Below are 16,075 nucleotides of genomic sequence, written 5' to 3'. Positions count from 1 at the left end.
TGCCTTTAGCATTGCTAGTGCTAAGACCCCAGCACACTTCCAGCAAATCAAATCAGGTTTTATTTAGGTCAGTTTAAAGAATGAATCATGTTTGGATGTCCTCTAAATGAATTACAAATTAATTAGCTGAGTGTGATCAGCGTTGTATTCATTATCACTTCCATTATGATAGCTATGTATGTTAGCTTGCACTGGAGAATATGATGTAAAGGAAAATAATGGGAATATTTATGCTGGCTGTGATGATGAATTATTTGAATCTACATAGAATCTTACTATAATTTATCTTGCTCTCTGTTTTATTCTAAGAATTTTAGCTCTGCAACTATTGTGCAATCAATGTTGGCTGAACACCTAATGTTACTTTTCCGTTGTAAATAACTAGAGGATTAGTCTTCTTAATTTAAAAAAACTTAGATGGCATGTTTTGATTCATTTATTGGAAACGTAATTTAGTATTAGTACTTACAATAACTGTTACTCATCAGGGATTTTTTAAGTAGGAGAGAAAAGATTTAGGTGATAATGAAATTTATTCGCACACACACACAAAATATGATATATCTTATGAAGAAGCATGCTTTAAATATTCAATCTAACTTCACTTTCTTGGTAGTAAACCAAGAATTCATATATTTATTTTCCTTTCGGTGGCTGAATTTACTATTCAAAAGCTTGTAACTTTAAAAGAAACATGCTTGCAACTGTTGTTTAGTATTACATCAGTTTTAGCTATGGTAACCCTTTTTATTAAGTCATGTTTTATATGTTGTGTATATTATTTTCCACTGTTTCCTGAATCTAACTTAGGAGGTTTCATTTTAAATTTCAGTTAGAAAGGAAATGTTGAAAACATTGTATGTCTAAGGAGTATTTGAGGACTAGCCTCTGTGTGGGACTTGATCATATCATCTTAGGCAGAAGAACGCAACAGAACCCCATACCTCAAGCCAGGAATTGCAACAGTTGTCCCAGATTCACTCTCACAGTCTCTCTCTCTCTCTGTCTCTCTCATTTTTTTCTCTCCCTATTTCATCAGAAGCACACACACAGGGCTTTGCAGGATATATATATTTTAATTAAAGCCTGTGTTTAGATTTTTCCACCACCTCTGAAAATAATTTGAGGCATCACTGGAAAAAAAAACAACTAGAAAAACTCAGATATTTCTATTTATAGCTCTGCCATGGACTCTCTGTGCCCTGTTGAATGAGTCCTTTGACCTAGCTTTTCCTGATGCCTTATCAGCAAAGTAGAGGTCATTATTCTATCATGTTTCTAACTTACTTCCTAGGGATACTGAGGATTCATTGAAATAAAACAACATGTAAATCCGATAGTTTATTGGATAAAGAAAACCTAAGAACAAAAAGGGTAGGCTTATTATGAAACTTGACGAGGCCATAAATATGATTTTAGGGCTACGTGATCTCCTTACTTTTCTCTTATTTACCTTTTTAATTCATTATAATATCAATAGGAAACTAATATCTAGATTTGTATGGCAAATCTAGATTAACTTATCAAAAGGCAACACACTAATATAAGCCTGTCTTTGCTTTTTCTGTGTTTGGTATGTGAATGTAAATATCTGTACTATAGAAAAAAGTTTAAAAGAGTATACATTAAAATGTTAACAAGCATTATTTCTAATATGTAAGTGATTTAAATTATCTTATTTTTTACCTGTATTTTATACAATGAACATGTATTATTTTAAAACTATTTTAAATCAACATTGCTTAATTGCTATCAGTTCAAAAATTCTATGCATTTCCTCCTAACACACTGTATTGTTATGGAAATTTAAAAAATAAAAATGCTTATTTTCAGAACGGGAGGACTGAATAAGAATTGTGAAATAAATTTTGCTAGTATCGTAGCACATCTCACCCTGATGCTTCTCTTTATAATATTATTTCCTTTGATTATTCTAAACTTTAAAATTCAAAACAATTTAAAAATGTGTTTTTCAGCTACAGGACCGCACTCAGTTCAGTGACCGAGACTTAGCCACCCTTAAGAAGTATTGGGACAATGGCATGACCAGCCTGGGCTCTGTTTGTAGAGAGAAAATTGAAGCTGTGGCAACTGAATTAAATGTTGACTGTGAAATAGTTCGGGTAAGACATTTTCTATAATTTTCATGCTATAGTTGCTGAATGGCATAAATGAAAGCTTTAAAATCTTACATGAGGTGCTCCAAGCAATGCTAGCAATAAAGTGAAAAGATAACCCACAGGATAGGAGATATTTTGAAATCATATATCTGATAAGGAATATGTATCAAAGGATGTAAAGAACACTTACAAGTCAATAATAAAATTGCAAATAACCCAATTTTAAAAATAGGCAAAGGAAATGAATAGATATTTGTTTTAAAAAGATATACATATTGCCAATATTTACCTGAAATTATGTTCAACATCATTAGTCATTATGGAAATGAAAATAAAAACCACAAGTTGCCATTTATCCACTGTAACAATATTAACATAAAAGGTATATAATAATGAGTTTTGGCCAGGATATGGAGAAATTGTAGCCCTGATACGTTGCTGGTAAGAATGTAAAATATTTTAGCAACTTTGACAACAGTCCTCAAAAAGTTTAACACAGAGTTATCATATGACCAAAAATTCCACTGCTGGAATGGATTTCAATCTACTCAAAAGAATAAAAAATGTATATCCAACTCAAAAAGTTGCACACTGATATTCATAACAGAGTTTTCCATAATATCCAAATGGAAACAACCCAAACATCCACCAAGTGAATGTATAGACAACATCTGGATATATGCATATAATGGACTATTATAGAGCCATATAAAGGAATGAAATATTCATATGTGCTATAAAACGGATGAACCTTAAAAACATTATGCTAAATGAAAGAAACCCATTGCAAAAGACCACATATTATATTATTTCATTTATATGAAGTGTCCTCATTAGGCACACTCTAGAGACAGAAAATAGGTTAGTGGTGCCAAGAGCTGAGGGAGGGGAGGGATGGGACCTGACTGTTAATATGCATGGGATTTATTTTTGGCATGATGAAAATGTTCTAGATTAGTTAGTGGTGACTGGTGCACAGCACTGTGAATATGTTGAAAACATTTTAATTGTACATATTAAATAAATGAATTGTGTGGTGTTTTAAATATATCTCAATAACATTGTTTAAAAATTACATGAGGTGAATTGAAATATATCTCATATAATGAATGATAGATAAAAATTTATTTTACATTCCCACCTACAGTGTAAAAGTGTTCCTATTTCTCCACAGCCTTGCCAGCATCTGTTGTTTCTTGACTTTTTAATAATTGCCATTCTGATTGGCGTGAGATGGTATTTCATTGTGGTTTTAATTTGCATTTCTCTAAAGATTAGTGATGTTGAGCTTTTTCTCATGTTTGTTGGCTGCATAAATTTCTTCTTTTGAGAACTCTCTGTTCATGTCCTTTGCCCACTTTTTAATGGGGTTGTTTGTTTTTTACTTGTAAAATTGTTTAAGTTCCTCGTAGACTGTGTATATTAGACCTTAGTCAGATGGGTATATTGTAAAAAATTTCTCTTTCTGTAAGTTTTCTATTCACTCTGATTATAGTTTCTTTTGCTGTGCAGAAACTCTTTTGTTTAATTAGATCCCATTTGTCAATTTTTGCTTTTGTTGCAATTACTTTTGATGTTTTTGTCATAAAATCTTTTGCCCATGCCTATGTCCTGAATGGTATTGCCTTGATTTTCTTCTAAGGTTTTTATAGTTTTGGGTTTTACATTTAAGTCTTTAATCCAACCATTGTGAAAAACAGTGTGGTGATTCCTCAAAGACTTAAAACCGGAAATACCGTTTGACCCAGCAATCCCATTACTGGGCATGTACCCAAAGGATTATAAATCATCCTATTATAAAGATACATGCACACGTATGTTCATTGCAGCAGTATTCACAATAGCAAGGACATGGAAGCAACCCACATGTCCATCAGTGATAGACTGGATAAAGAAAATGTGATACATATACAACATGGAATACTATGCAGCTATAAAAAGGAATGAGATCATGTCCTTTGCAGGGCCATGGATGAAGTTGGAAGCCATTATCCTCAGCAAACTAACATAGGAACAGAAAACCAAACCCCACATGTTCTCACTTATAAGTAGGAGCTGAACAATGAGAACACATGGACACAAGGAGGGGAACAACACACACTGGGGCCTGTTGGGGGGTGGGGGAAGGGAGAGCAACAGGAAAAAAGCTAATGTATACAAGGCTTAATATCTAGTTCATGGGTTGATAAGTGCAGCAAACCCCTTCCACGGCACACATTTACCTTTGTAACAAACCTGCAGGTCCTGCACATGTATCCTAGAACTTAAAATAAAATAAAATAAAATAAAATTTTAAAAATTATACTGATCAATCATTGGAACAGTAGTTTATGTTCCATTTAAAAGATAAAATTTTGAAAGTGGTAGTGCTGGTAAGTACTTAGCAATCAATTCTTTAAGGAAAAAAAAAGCCTTAATTAATAGTATTTGCTGATTTCCGTGGTGTAAAGATTCCTACCACAGCTGATTCCATGTCTCACTCAACACAGAGTTGGGAAGAGATGCTAACAGTTGACGCTTGTGAGCAAGTGTAGGTTGACACCAGTACACACACTGGAGGATCATCTCAGTAGATCAAGAGGGAAGTATATTAAAGAAGTGACAAAGAGCCAGGCTTGGTAGTACATACCTGTAGTCCCAGCCACTCAGAAGGCTGAGGTGGAAGGATCACTTGAGCCCAAGAGTTCAAGTGCAGCCAGGACAACCTAATGAGACTCCAGCTCTTATCTCATATATATATGAAGAAAAGAGCAATATAGAGAGAATTTTTGAGTAGAGATTTCTGAAAATAAATACTATTCTCAAAATAAGTACTGCCCTGTTCAGAGTCTTGCTTTTTCTTGTTAGAATCCAGATGGAAAATCAAATTCAATACTGTGTTTGTTGAGCATGCTGCTATGTGTTAAAGTATACTAACAAGGAGAGAGAAGTGCATTAGACATTATTTCTATTTTAAGGAGCTCAGAGTCTAGCAAGAGGGATGACACAAGAAAAAAAATGACTGAAGAGGAATTGGAGTAGAGTCATAGTATGAGGAGCTTAAGCAACAGCCAAAAATAGGGAAATGTAGAGCATGTGTTCTTGTTGTCATTGTCATTTTTATTTTTTTTAAATCAAAGTTATATACGTATATAGCTTAGGAAGTCAAGTTCTGTAGAATTTGCTACAACACCAACATTCCTCACTCCTTCCTTCCTACCATTTTGCAATAGCCCGAGTTGAACCACTTTCCACTTTTAGTTATTTCCTTCAGTATTTACTTTCATCTATGAATGATGTGTTGTATTAATTAGAATTAGGTTTAGCTGTAAGTATTAAAAAGACCCAAAAGTAACAATGGCTTAGACAAGATATTTCAATTCCATGTATAAGTCCATGTATATGCAATTTACAGCTAGCATGGCAGTTTGGCTCTACAATATCCACAAAAACCCTGATGCCTTCCAGTTTCCATTCCGCTGTCCCTGTGATGTGGCCCTTTTTATCAAGGCCCAAAATGATAGCATACATACTCAAGGCAGCATGACAGAGAGGGAGAAGAATAAGGGGCAAAGGCTGTTCACCAGCTGTCTTTTAACAAGGATTTCTGGAAACTGCCATGAGATCTGTTCACTTATATCCCATTGGCTAAAGATTAGTCACATGGTCATACCAAACTACAAGAGAAGCTGCAAATGTAATTTTACTGTGAGCAACCATGTGCCCAGCTAAATCTTCTATTATTCTGGAAGGTGAGGACAAATATGGGGAATAGACAGCAGTCTCTCTTATATGTTTACATTGCAACTTCCTGATTTGTTCAATGTTGGGCATAGTCTATTGATTTTTCACTGTGAAATGCAAAGCTTAAAAAAAAATCTCTTTAAGATTTCCTCATTGATCTGTTCACTTACATGCATAATTCCTCTCTCCTTATCCTCCTATAACTTTGGTCAGCTTGGTATTCATTATTATGACTATGTAAATGCTTTACACATTTGAATTATGTAGTGAAATATCATTTTTTCCTTTTCTGCATAACTTAGCATTGTTTTATTTCCCTGTAGTTCATAATTTACTTAATTTATGCTTTTGATATTCATATGTTTGCTTGAGTTATTTTCTAGGTACTCACTACTAATTTATCTTTAAACCCTTTCCCAGTTGCCTAAGTCTCCTTTCAACACATTCATACTCATTGGTAATATAATAATTCCATCATCTTAGAGAAATAGCTCCTGGCATTTTTCTGATCTGCTCCAACTGAATTGGTTATTTTATGCACCTGGACTCTAAGATTTCCACTTCCAATCTGTTTTTCCTTTTGCTCTACTTTCAGCAAGATATCCCTTAATTTATTCTCCAATTTCTCTACTGAGTTTTTCATTTTTTAAAAAACTTCATCATGCCTCTGGTACTAATAAGTACCTTGTGCCATGACAACAGTGTTCAGGTTCTATGGACAGCCATAGAGCCTCCTTGAGACAGCCATACTGCAAGAGAGGAGACACGGACAGAATCTCTTTAAAAACATACACTCCCAAAATAAAGATAAGATATCCACAGGAGGGCCGGGCGCGGTGGCTCACGCCTGTAATCCCAGCACTTTGGGAGGCCGAGGTGGGCGGATCACAGGTCAGGAGATCGAGACCATCCTAGCTAACATGGTGAAACCCCGTCTCTACTAAAAATACAAAAAATTAGCCAGGCGTGGTGGCGGGCGCCTATAGTCCCAGCTACTCGGGAAGCTGAGGCAGGAGAATGGCGTGAACCTGGGAGGCGGAGCTTGCAGTGAGGCGAGATCGCGCCACTGCACTCCAGCCTGGGCGACAGAGCAAGACTCCATCTCAAAAAAAAAAAAAAAAAAAAAAAAAAGATATCCACAGGATTCCTGGCTAGTGTTCTCTCTGATATCAAGAGATTTTAGGCACACTTACTGTGAAAAATGGCCAAAACTATTAACATCAGTTCCCCCTTTGGCATTACTATATACAGAGTTTCTTATTCCTACACAAAGATCGTAATCTGTGAAAAAGGAGGAAGAATTTTACCATTTTCTTCTTGCTTAATATTTGTTCAGACTCATATTAGATGAAAGAATAAGGAACTGTTTACTATCCTTTTGTTTCTCATGATTTTCCAACATACTAGAATGCTCATGGCAGAGAGAAAATTTGGAGGTGATATGTTTTAAGAGGACCTCTTCTGTAACATATGGTAAATTACTCTAAGGGAGAATATGTTTGCAACATAAATATATTCTTGAGATTTCAGGAAAAACTATTTATATGTTTTTAAGTCTAATATACATTCTAATTACTAATCACCAAAATGAACTTCACCTTAGGATGTCTAGTTAACCATTACTTACGGTATAATTTGAAAGTTTCAGATTTTTTTTTAATGTCTTGTACTTCTAAGAAGTATAGGAAGCAAACTTGGTATACTTTTTCTTTGACCTTGTCAATGATTGTTAATTATGTGCATGTTTTTCTTCATCTTGAAATGCCATTTACAGGTTAGTGCCTATTTACCGACTTACTCATTTAGCAAAGGTAAACTGGACACCTATTAGGTGCCAGAACTTTTTTTTTTTTTGTCCTGCTACATTCCTTTAGTATTATTATTTTTATTATACTTTAAGTTCTAGGGTACCTGTGCACAATGTGCAGGTTTGTTACGTGCGTATACTTGTGCCATGTTGGTGTGCTGCACTCATTAACTCGTCATTTACATTAGGTATATCTCCTAATGCTATCCCTCCCCCCTCCTCCCACCCCACGACAGGCCCTGGTGTGTGATATTCCCCTTCCTGTGTCCAAGTCTTCTCATTGTTCAATTCCCACCTATGAGTGAGAACATGCGGTGTTTGGTTTTTTGTCCCTGCGATAGTTTGCTGAGAATGATGGTTTCCAGCTTCATCCATGTCCCTATAAAGGACCTGAACTCATCATTTTTTATGTATGTGCCAGAACTTTTCTAAGTGCCATTGGAAAAATGCAACTCTCTCAAGGAACTTGAAATTTAGTGTGATCAATTATTCCTAAATGAGGATAATACATTGGAGAAATATTTTGAGATATTACATGTGGACAATAAGTTGGAAGCACTGTTAAGTCCTCGAGGACAATTAGTTCCCCACTGCTCCATCTTGCTACAATTCAGTTTAATGCCTGTCCTTTCCATCTGTGTTATGGTTATAGTGGACATACATTAAAGTGTACCCTTGCATGGTCAAATATTGATAGAATCAACATATTTTATGATTGAGATACATTTTGCGGGACTTAAATAAAGTTCATAGAAAACAACTTTATGTTTTTATATTTTAGATTATATTTATTTTCAAAGGAGCATGGCTAGATTTGAAATGCCTTGAAATGGAACAATGTTTATACAGTATATGGCAAACTCCCTATTATCTATTACACACATTGATTTAGAGCTGGGGGGGCACCTTGGGGTTGAGTTCAATGCCTATATATGTGTGTGTGTGTGCGTGTGTGTATGTATGTGTATATATATATATATATATATATATATATATATATATATATATGTGTGTGTGTGTATATATATATATGTCTCTTTATTCCCAATCTAACATTATTCCCAGTTCCACCTTACTAGTGTATGCCTTACCATAAGAAATAACTTGGATACTTCTTAAAAATATAGATCACCCTATTCTAGACCTACCGAAACAGAATTTGCAAGAAAGGCCCAGAGAATCTTTATGTTTCCCTTCCCCAAATTATTCTTAAGATCAGGTAAATTTGGAAAAAACTTTACAACACTATGTGATGATTGCAGCTAAATATTCTAGCGTGTTCTTTTTATCCATAACACTTGGTCAAATTTTATAATTTATATTTGTTTTTCTATTTGCTTATCACCTGTACATATGCATTTCTGTTGTTTATCATCTATATTTATACATTTAAGTTCCCTGAGGAAAAGACTATACCTATTATATTCACCTATTATATTCACCATCCCAAGCACCAGAAACAGTGTTTGGTACATAGTAAATTTTCAGTAATATATGTGGAATGAATGAATGAATATCTAACAGAAAAGTGTACCCTCTATATATAGCATACATGAACTAACAAATACTACATTTAAATAACTACATTTAAAATAAAAGTTTGGAATATAGCTTCATATTGTTTAATAGAAAGATACTTAGAAATGTACAGGGCTTTAGAGTACTCATTTTTAATAGCCATTATGTTTGTGGTGTTAATACATAGGTGTTCTGGTTGAAAAGATTCACTACTATTTTTAGATTTGTGACCATTCTGGTGGGAAATTTATTATTCAGGAAAGTAAAGAATTTGGAAATTATTTTCCTAATTTTGCACATAAATAATCTGAGGCTTAGAGTGATAAAATAACTTGTCCATTGATCATATAAAATGGTTGAAAAACCTAAATATTTTAAAGTAGGGGTTTCTAATCTGAAACAGTGAAAAAAATACCATTCACATAATTGATAGCTGGAATGTAGAAGGGAGAGTTCAGGGTGAAGAAGATCTGAAGCAAAGAACTGGAAACAATACCTCAATGAAATAAAACCATAGATATTGGTTCAGTTTAAGGAAGAGCATTATGAAAACACTTACAAAACCAACTGGGAACCTTTCAGAGTGGTATGTTTTATATCCCTGATATTTTCATGCAAAAAGAGGATGGAAACTTCAGACGCTCAACAGATTGTATGATACCCACTCACATTAGTAAAAGTGATCTTCTTAACAGTCTATATACTCAAATTCTAATCTCTGCCAGTAACAATCTCAGGGACACACCTAGAAATAATGTTTTGCCAGCTATCTGGGAAACATTTAGCTCAGTTATATTGACACATAAAATTAACTATCACAGCCTGCTATAATACAATATTATAGATTGGTTGTCTTATAAACAACAGAAATTTATTCTTAATTGTTCTGGAGGCTGAGGAATCAAAGACCAAGGTGCTGGAAGGTCAGAAGTATGGAAAGCCCACTTCCTAGACAGCTATCTTTTTGCTGTAACCTCTCATGGCAGAAGGGGCAAGGAGTCTCCCTGGGGTCTCCTTTATAAAAGCACTACATTTATGAGAGACCCATTCTCATTACCTATTTACCTCCAAAAGGTCCCACCTTTTAACACTAGTACCTTGGGGGTTAGGATTTTAACACGTTAATTTGGAGTAGGGGAGACAAATATTCAGGCCAGAGCAGACTCCAGGATTAACTCAGTTATCCATGATTCTGTAAAAATGTACTAAACCCATTAGCATTGTATTTATACATTGAATCATTTTTCTAGTGCCTTCTAGTTTTGAGGAATATCCAAAGAGGAAATATTTTAGCTTTAATTTACAATAAAATATCACATACTTCCAATATTCACATAACATATTGTTTTACCTTTATCATTGTACATTTTATAATCACTCATTTCTCTCAAAAAGGGTGCAAAAGAAGTGGAAGATAAATAGAAACTTCGTTTCTGCTTTTTTTTTCTTCACTCTTCCCCAGCTTTTATGACCCAAATGGAGCAAAAATCATCCTAGGGAGACTGGTCTTTTCCTCCTTCTGCTCATACCATCATTTTCACAACTATTGGTGGCTAAGATTATTGTAAAAGAAAAGCTTCTGCATTTACAATTTGTTGTGTTCATGAGTAGAAAATAGAGAGATTACATGACAATTTTAAGAAGCTTTAGTAAGAAATTGCCATTCTTTATCTTTTCTGAATTATAGCAATCCATTTTCAACGTTATGATGGATGTAATGAGAAATTGGGTGCTAGAGTCAATAATAATTTAATTGTACATTATAAAATCACTAAAAGTATAATTGGACTGTTTGTAACACAAAGGATAAATGCTTGAGGGGATGAATACCCAGTGTTCCATGATGTGATTATTATGCTTTGCATGCCTGTACCAAAATGTCTCATGTGCCTCGTAAATATATACACCTAATATATACCTACAAAAATTAAAAATAAAAAAGTGTTAAAAGGAAAAAATAAATGGAATTCTCCTTTTTAAACTAGTATTTCTCCTATGAAAGAAATTATCAAAGCTAAGAAAATTAGTATCCATACAGATTTTTATTTCATACTAGGCAATTTTCTCTTTGGTGTGTACAAAGTAATTCATGTGTTTCAAACTTCACATTTAGTGTCAATGCTAAACACATCCAAGGAACTACATTTCATAAACTTGAAGGGAAAATTCCCCCCATCAAATATAAAGAAGAATTCGTCTTTTTGGACTAACTAAATAGTTCTTCTGTTTTGCCCTGCATATTTTTTGAAATCTAACCAAGTATAAAATTTAACTTCATTCATGTTTTTTATTTACACAAAGAGTATCTAAGGTGGCTTTGTATTTATGTAGCCCTATTGTATAGAAGAAATTCTAGTTGGTATAAAAGGCATCATAATCAAATTTACAGCTGAAAGTCTAAACTGTTATTTAGTGGTTTTCTACACTACTTTAGGTTTTAAGAATCCTTCTTGACATGGCAAAACTAGAAAGGTTACAAATTCGAGTCATATAAAGTGGTCTTTCTGAAAATTGCGTAAGAAACGTGGGAATAAAACTGGTTTCAGACTGTTGCTTCTGAGAAAATGGAGTGGACATAATTTTCCCTATTCTTCTCATTAAGTAGAACTAATATCCCTGGACATTATATAAATAGCAAACATAAGAAGACTCTGAAGGGTGGAAAGAAGTCACATCTGCTAGGGACCATGGGACCCCATGAATGACACTCACACAATGGTGAGTTTCCTGGGTTTTCTTTTGCTTCATATACCCCAGAATAGATACTGGAAAAGCCAACAATCAAGAAACACCAATAGGTGCAAACAAATGGAAAAAGGAAAGAAAAAGAAAAGCCTGGCCTCTCTCAGCCAAGAACCAGGAAAAGGGCAGTCTAACATGACAGAAAATGTTTAGATAATGACTTCTTTACTCCAGCCAAATACCACGGGGAAAAACTGCAGCCACACCCACCCCTACAAGAAAAGGCCAAATGGAGGACCAAGACTTCTGCCTCACCAGGCTGTGGAACAGCTAGATGCCCCCACCTCCGCAAAGCAAAACAAAACAAAACAAACCAACAAACAAAAAACACTCACTGATGGGATGGTGTCAGATAAGAAAGAGTGGAGAGCTGGAATAAAAATCCTTCCTCCACCATTCCCTTGCAATGTCACTAGAAGACTTTTATCCCCTCCTGCACTTAGAGGTGATGATGAGCCCTTCCTCCTCCTCATTGGGGTGGTATCAGAAGATGCCTACTGGAGCTCCTGGGCTCCCAACTCCACCCAGGAGTAAAAGAAGTCTCTTTCCCCACTGGATGTCAATGGAAGTCCAGTGGACAACCTGGAATTTACCCTCTTGTGACTGTCATAAGATAGATAGATGATAGATAGATAGATAGATAGATAGATAGATAGATAGATAGATAGCCTGGATCAATCACTAAAAAGTCATACAAAGGGATACAGAAAAGTTCTATACATAAATATAAATGGAATTCTAAATATTTAAAAATACCCCACAGGAATGCAGGGGAAAAATACAACAAAATACACTAAAAGAAATGAAGGCAGAAAATGAAATGACATATTGACGCTTTAACATAGAAATAATTGCATTAAATTTAAATGGTCTAAATTCACAAACTAAAATACAGAAATTTGCAAATTGGATTTTTAAAAATGACCTAACTTGATGTTGTCTACAATAAATTAAAATATCATGATATGTGTAGTTTGAAAGTAAAAAGATAGAAAACATATAGAATGCAAACATGAATCAAAATAAAGCAGGAGTTGATACAATAATATCGGATAAAGTAAACTTCAGAGCAAAGGAAATTACAGGGGACAAAGTGGGACACTGTATAATAATAACAGGGTAAATTTTATCAAGGAGACATTGCAATTCTGAATGTGTATACATCAGATATCACAGAACTACAAAATATGTGAAGCAACAACTAAAAATTCTCAAAAGAAGAATAAGCAAATCCAAAATTATATTTGGAGATTTCATCAGCCTTCTCTCAACAGCTGCTACAGTTATTACATAGAAGAATATTAGTAATATAGAACCCCAAAACACCCTCAATCCATAGGGTGTAATTGACTAGTAGAATGCACAACCCAACAAAAATAAAATACACACTTTTCAAGTGCTCATGGAATACACAAAAAGAGTAAATCCTGGACCACAAGACAAACCTCAATAAATTTTAAAAATCTAAATCATACAGAATATGTTCCTGACCACTATTGCATCAAAGTAGAAATCAATAACAGAAAGATATCAGAAAAATTTCCATACACTTAGAGGTTATGCAAGACATTTCTAAATAATCCGTGGGTCAAAGAGGGAGTCTTTTTTCAGTTTTTATAGGTTTTGGGGTATAAGTGCAGTTTTGTTACACACATATATTGTGTGGTGGTGAAGTCTGGGCTTTGAGTGTACCTGTCACTCGAATAGTGAACATTGTACCCAACAGGTGATTTTTCAACCCTCACCCCTCTTCTACCCTCCCATGTTTTAGAGTTTTCATTGTCTATTATTCCACTCTCTATTGCCATGAATACCCACTGTTTAGCACCCACTTACAAGTGATATCATGTGTTATTTGACTTTCTGTTTGAGTTATTTCACTTAGAATAATGGCCTGTAGTTCCATTTATGTTACTACAAAAGACATGATTTTATTCTTTTTTTAAGACTGAGTAGTATTCTATGGTGTGTGTGCACACACACACACACACACACACAGGGCTAGGGTTAAGGTCAAGGGTTAAGGGGGTTAGGGGTTAGGGTTGTTTATATATATATATATATATATACACACACACATAAACATATAGATGTACATATATACACATATATATACATCTATATGCTTATGTATGTGTGTATATATATATATACACACACACATTTATACATATATGTAACAACCCTAACCCTAGCTCCTAACTCCCTTAATGCCTAACCCTAACCATACACACACACACACACACACACACACACACACACACACACACACACATATATATATATAATTTTTAAATAAGTCATAAGGGAATAAAATGAAATTGGACTTCTAGTTTCTGGTCTGGCATGTGAGGAGCCTAGAAGTTGTCAGTTCATCTTAACAAATAAAACGTTGAACAAACTGAAAATCAACAATTCTTCTTAGATATGACAGATAAGTGAAGGTACAGGGCAAACCACTGACCCCAAAATTGGTGAGACAAATAGGCAGATACAGAGAATCACAACTTACTGGAGCAGAATTCCATGAGCAGAAACCTCCATGGGAACCATTACCAAGGCAGGAAAACCTAAACTGTAACTGATGAATTGCTGGAGGCTCAGTGTAGACAAGTCTGAAAGTTAGGAATTCCAGGGTGTACAATCATGGAGGGGGTGACACTTTTGTGAGTTTTACTCCCAGAGGCTGTATCAGATTCTCACTGTGAATATTGGAGAAAAACTCCCTCATGCTCTTGACAGGAAGAATGGAAAAGTAACAATTTTTAAGAAACATTAGAACGTTCTGTTAAGAAAGCCTGCTTTTAAGAGCAAATATTTTACCAGAGCCTAACCTATTGGGATTTTATCATGACCTAACTATCCTAGGGCAAAAGTAAACAACAATAATAACCAAATACAGCCCCCTTTAGCCATCTTGTCCCACCTAAGGTAGAGGAAAAACTGATAAGCACTTCAAAAGTTCACAGGCCACGGCAAAGATTCACTAAAAGACTGAGATCTCATCATAGGACTATAGGATGCTTTAACTTCCTCCTAACCTGAACACTACATCGCCAAATGCCTAGTTCTTTTAGTTCTTTTAACCCAGTACATCACGTTCAACTTTTAATAAAAATGACAAGGCATAACAAAAGGCAAAAAACAAACAAACAAAAGCAAAACAACAAAACAAAGAAAGAATTTGAAGAGACAGAGCAAGCATCAGAACTACATTCATACATGACAGGGATGTTAGAATCGTCAGACGAGGAATTGGGAAGAACTATGATTAACATGCTAAGGGCACTAATGGAAAAAGTAGACAACATACAAGAACAGAATGGTAATGTAAGCAGAGGCATGAACATTCTAAGAAAGGATAAAAAACAAATGCTAGAGACCAAAAACAGTAACTGAAATGAAGAAAGCTTTTGATGGTCTCATTAGCAGACTGGACATGGCTGTGGAAATAATTTCTGAACTTGATGATATATCAATAGAAACTTCCAAAACTGGAGAGCATAAAACAAAAATATTGATTAAAAATGGAACATAATATACAACAACTGTGGGACAAATATAACAGGTGTAACATATGTCTAATGGGAATACCACCAGAAAGAGAAAAAAAGGGAAAATAGAACAGAAGAAATATTCAAAACCATAATAACTGAGAATTTTCCCTAAATTAATGTAACATATCAAACCACAGATCCACAATGCTTGGCGTACACCAAGCAGGATAAATGCAAAACAAACAATAAAAAAAACTACACCTAGGCATATCATACTCAAACTGTAAAAATCATTGATAAAGAAAAAGACTTGAAAGAAGCCAGAGGGGGAAAACAAATACCTTAATTACAGAGGAGCAAAAATAAGAATTAAATCTGACTTTTCCTCAGAAACTATGCAAGCAAGAAGGCAGTAGAATGAAATATTTAAAGTGTTGAGAGGAAAAAACAAACAATACCAACCCAGAATTCTGTACTCAGTGAAATTATCCTTCAAATGTGAAGGAGAAATAGACTTTTTCAGACAAAAATTGAAGGAATTTGTTGCCAGTAGAACTGCCTTTCAAGAAATGTTGAAAAGTCCTTCAGATACAAGGGAAATCATATAGGTCAGAAATGCAGAGCTACATAAAGGAAGAGCATTAGAGAAATAATATTGAAGGTAAAAG

At 34.6% G+C, this 16,075-nt stretch overlaps 1 protein-coding gene across 12 annotated transcripts in view; it reads left to right on the top strand.

Annotated features, from left to right (window-relative positions):
• HDX (highly divergent homeobox) overlaps nt 1–16,075 on the top strand; it is a 184,576-nt gene that overhangs the window by 138,865 nt on the left and 29,636 nt on the right. For all 12 annotated transcript variants that reach the window (XR_001755653.2, XR_001755652.2, XR_938392.2 and 9 more), the window contains one exon: nt 1,977–2,123. Coding sequence is in view for 9 of the 12 variants with exons in the window: in XM_017029275.2 (XP_016884764.1) it covers nt 1,977–2,123 (147 nt within the window). In the remaining 3 variants the exon portion in view is untranslated. The remainder of the gene's footprint in view (nt 1–1,976; nt 2,124–16,075) is intronic.

Source organism: Homo sapiens, chromosome X, assembly GCF_000001405.40.
Source record: "Homo sapiens chromosome X, GRCh38.p14 Primary Assembly".
NCBI classification, from domain to species: Eukaryota; Metazoa; Chordata; class Mammalia; order Primates; family Hominidae; genus Homo; species Homo sapiens.
The sequence above is the reverse complement of the archived record's forward strand: the minus strand, read 5'-3'. Positions and strand labels throughout refer to the sequence as shown.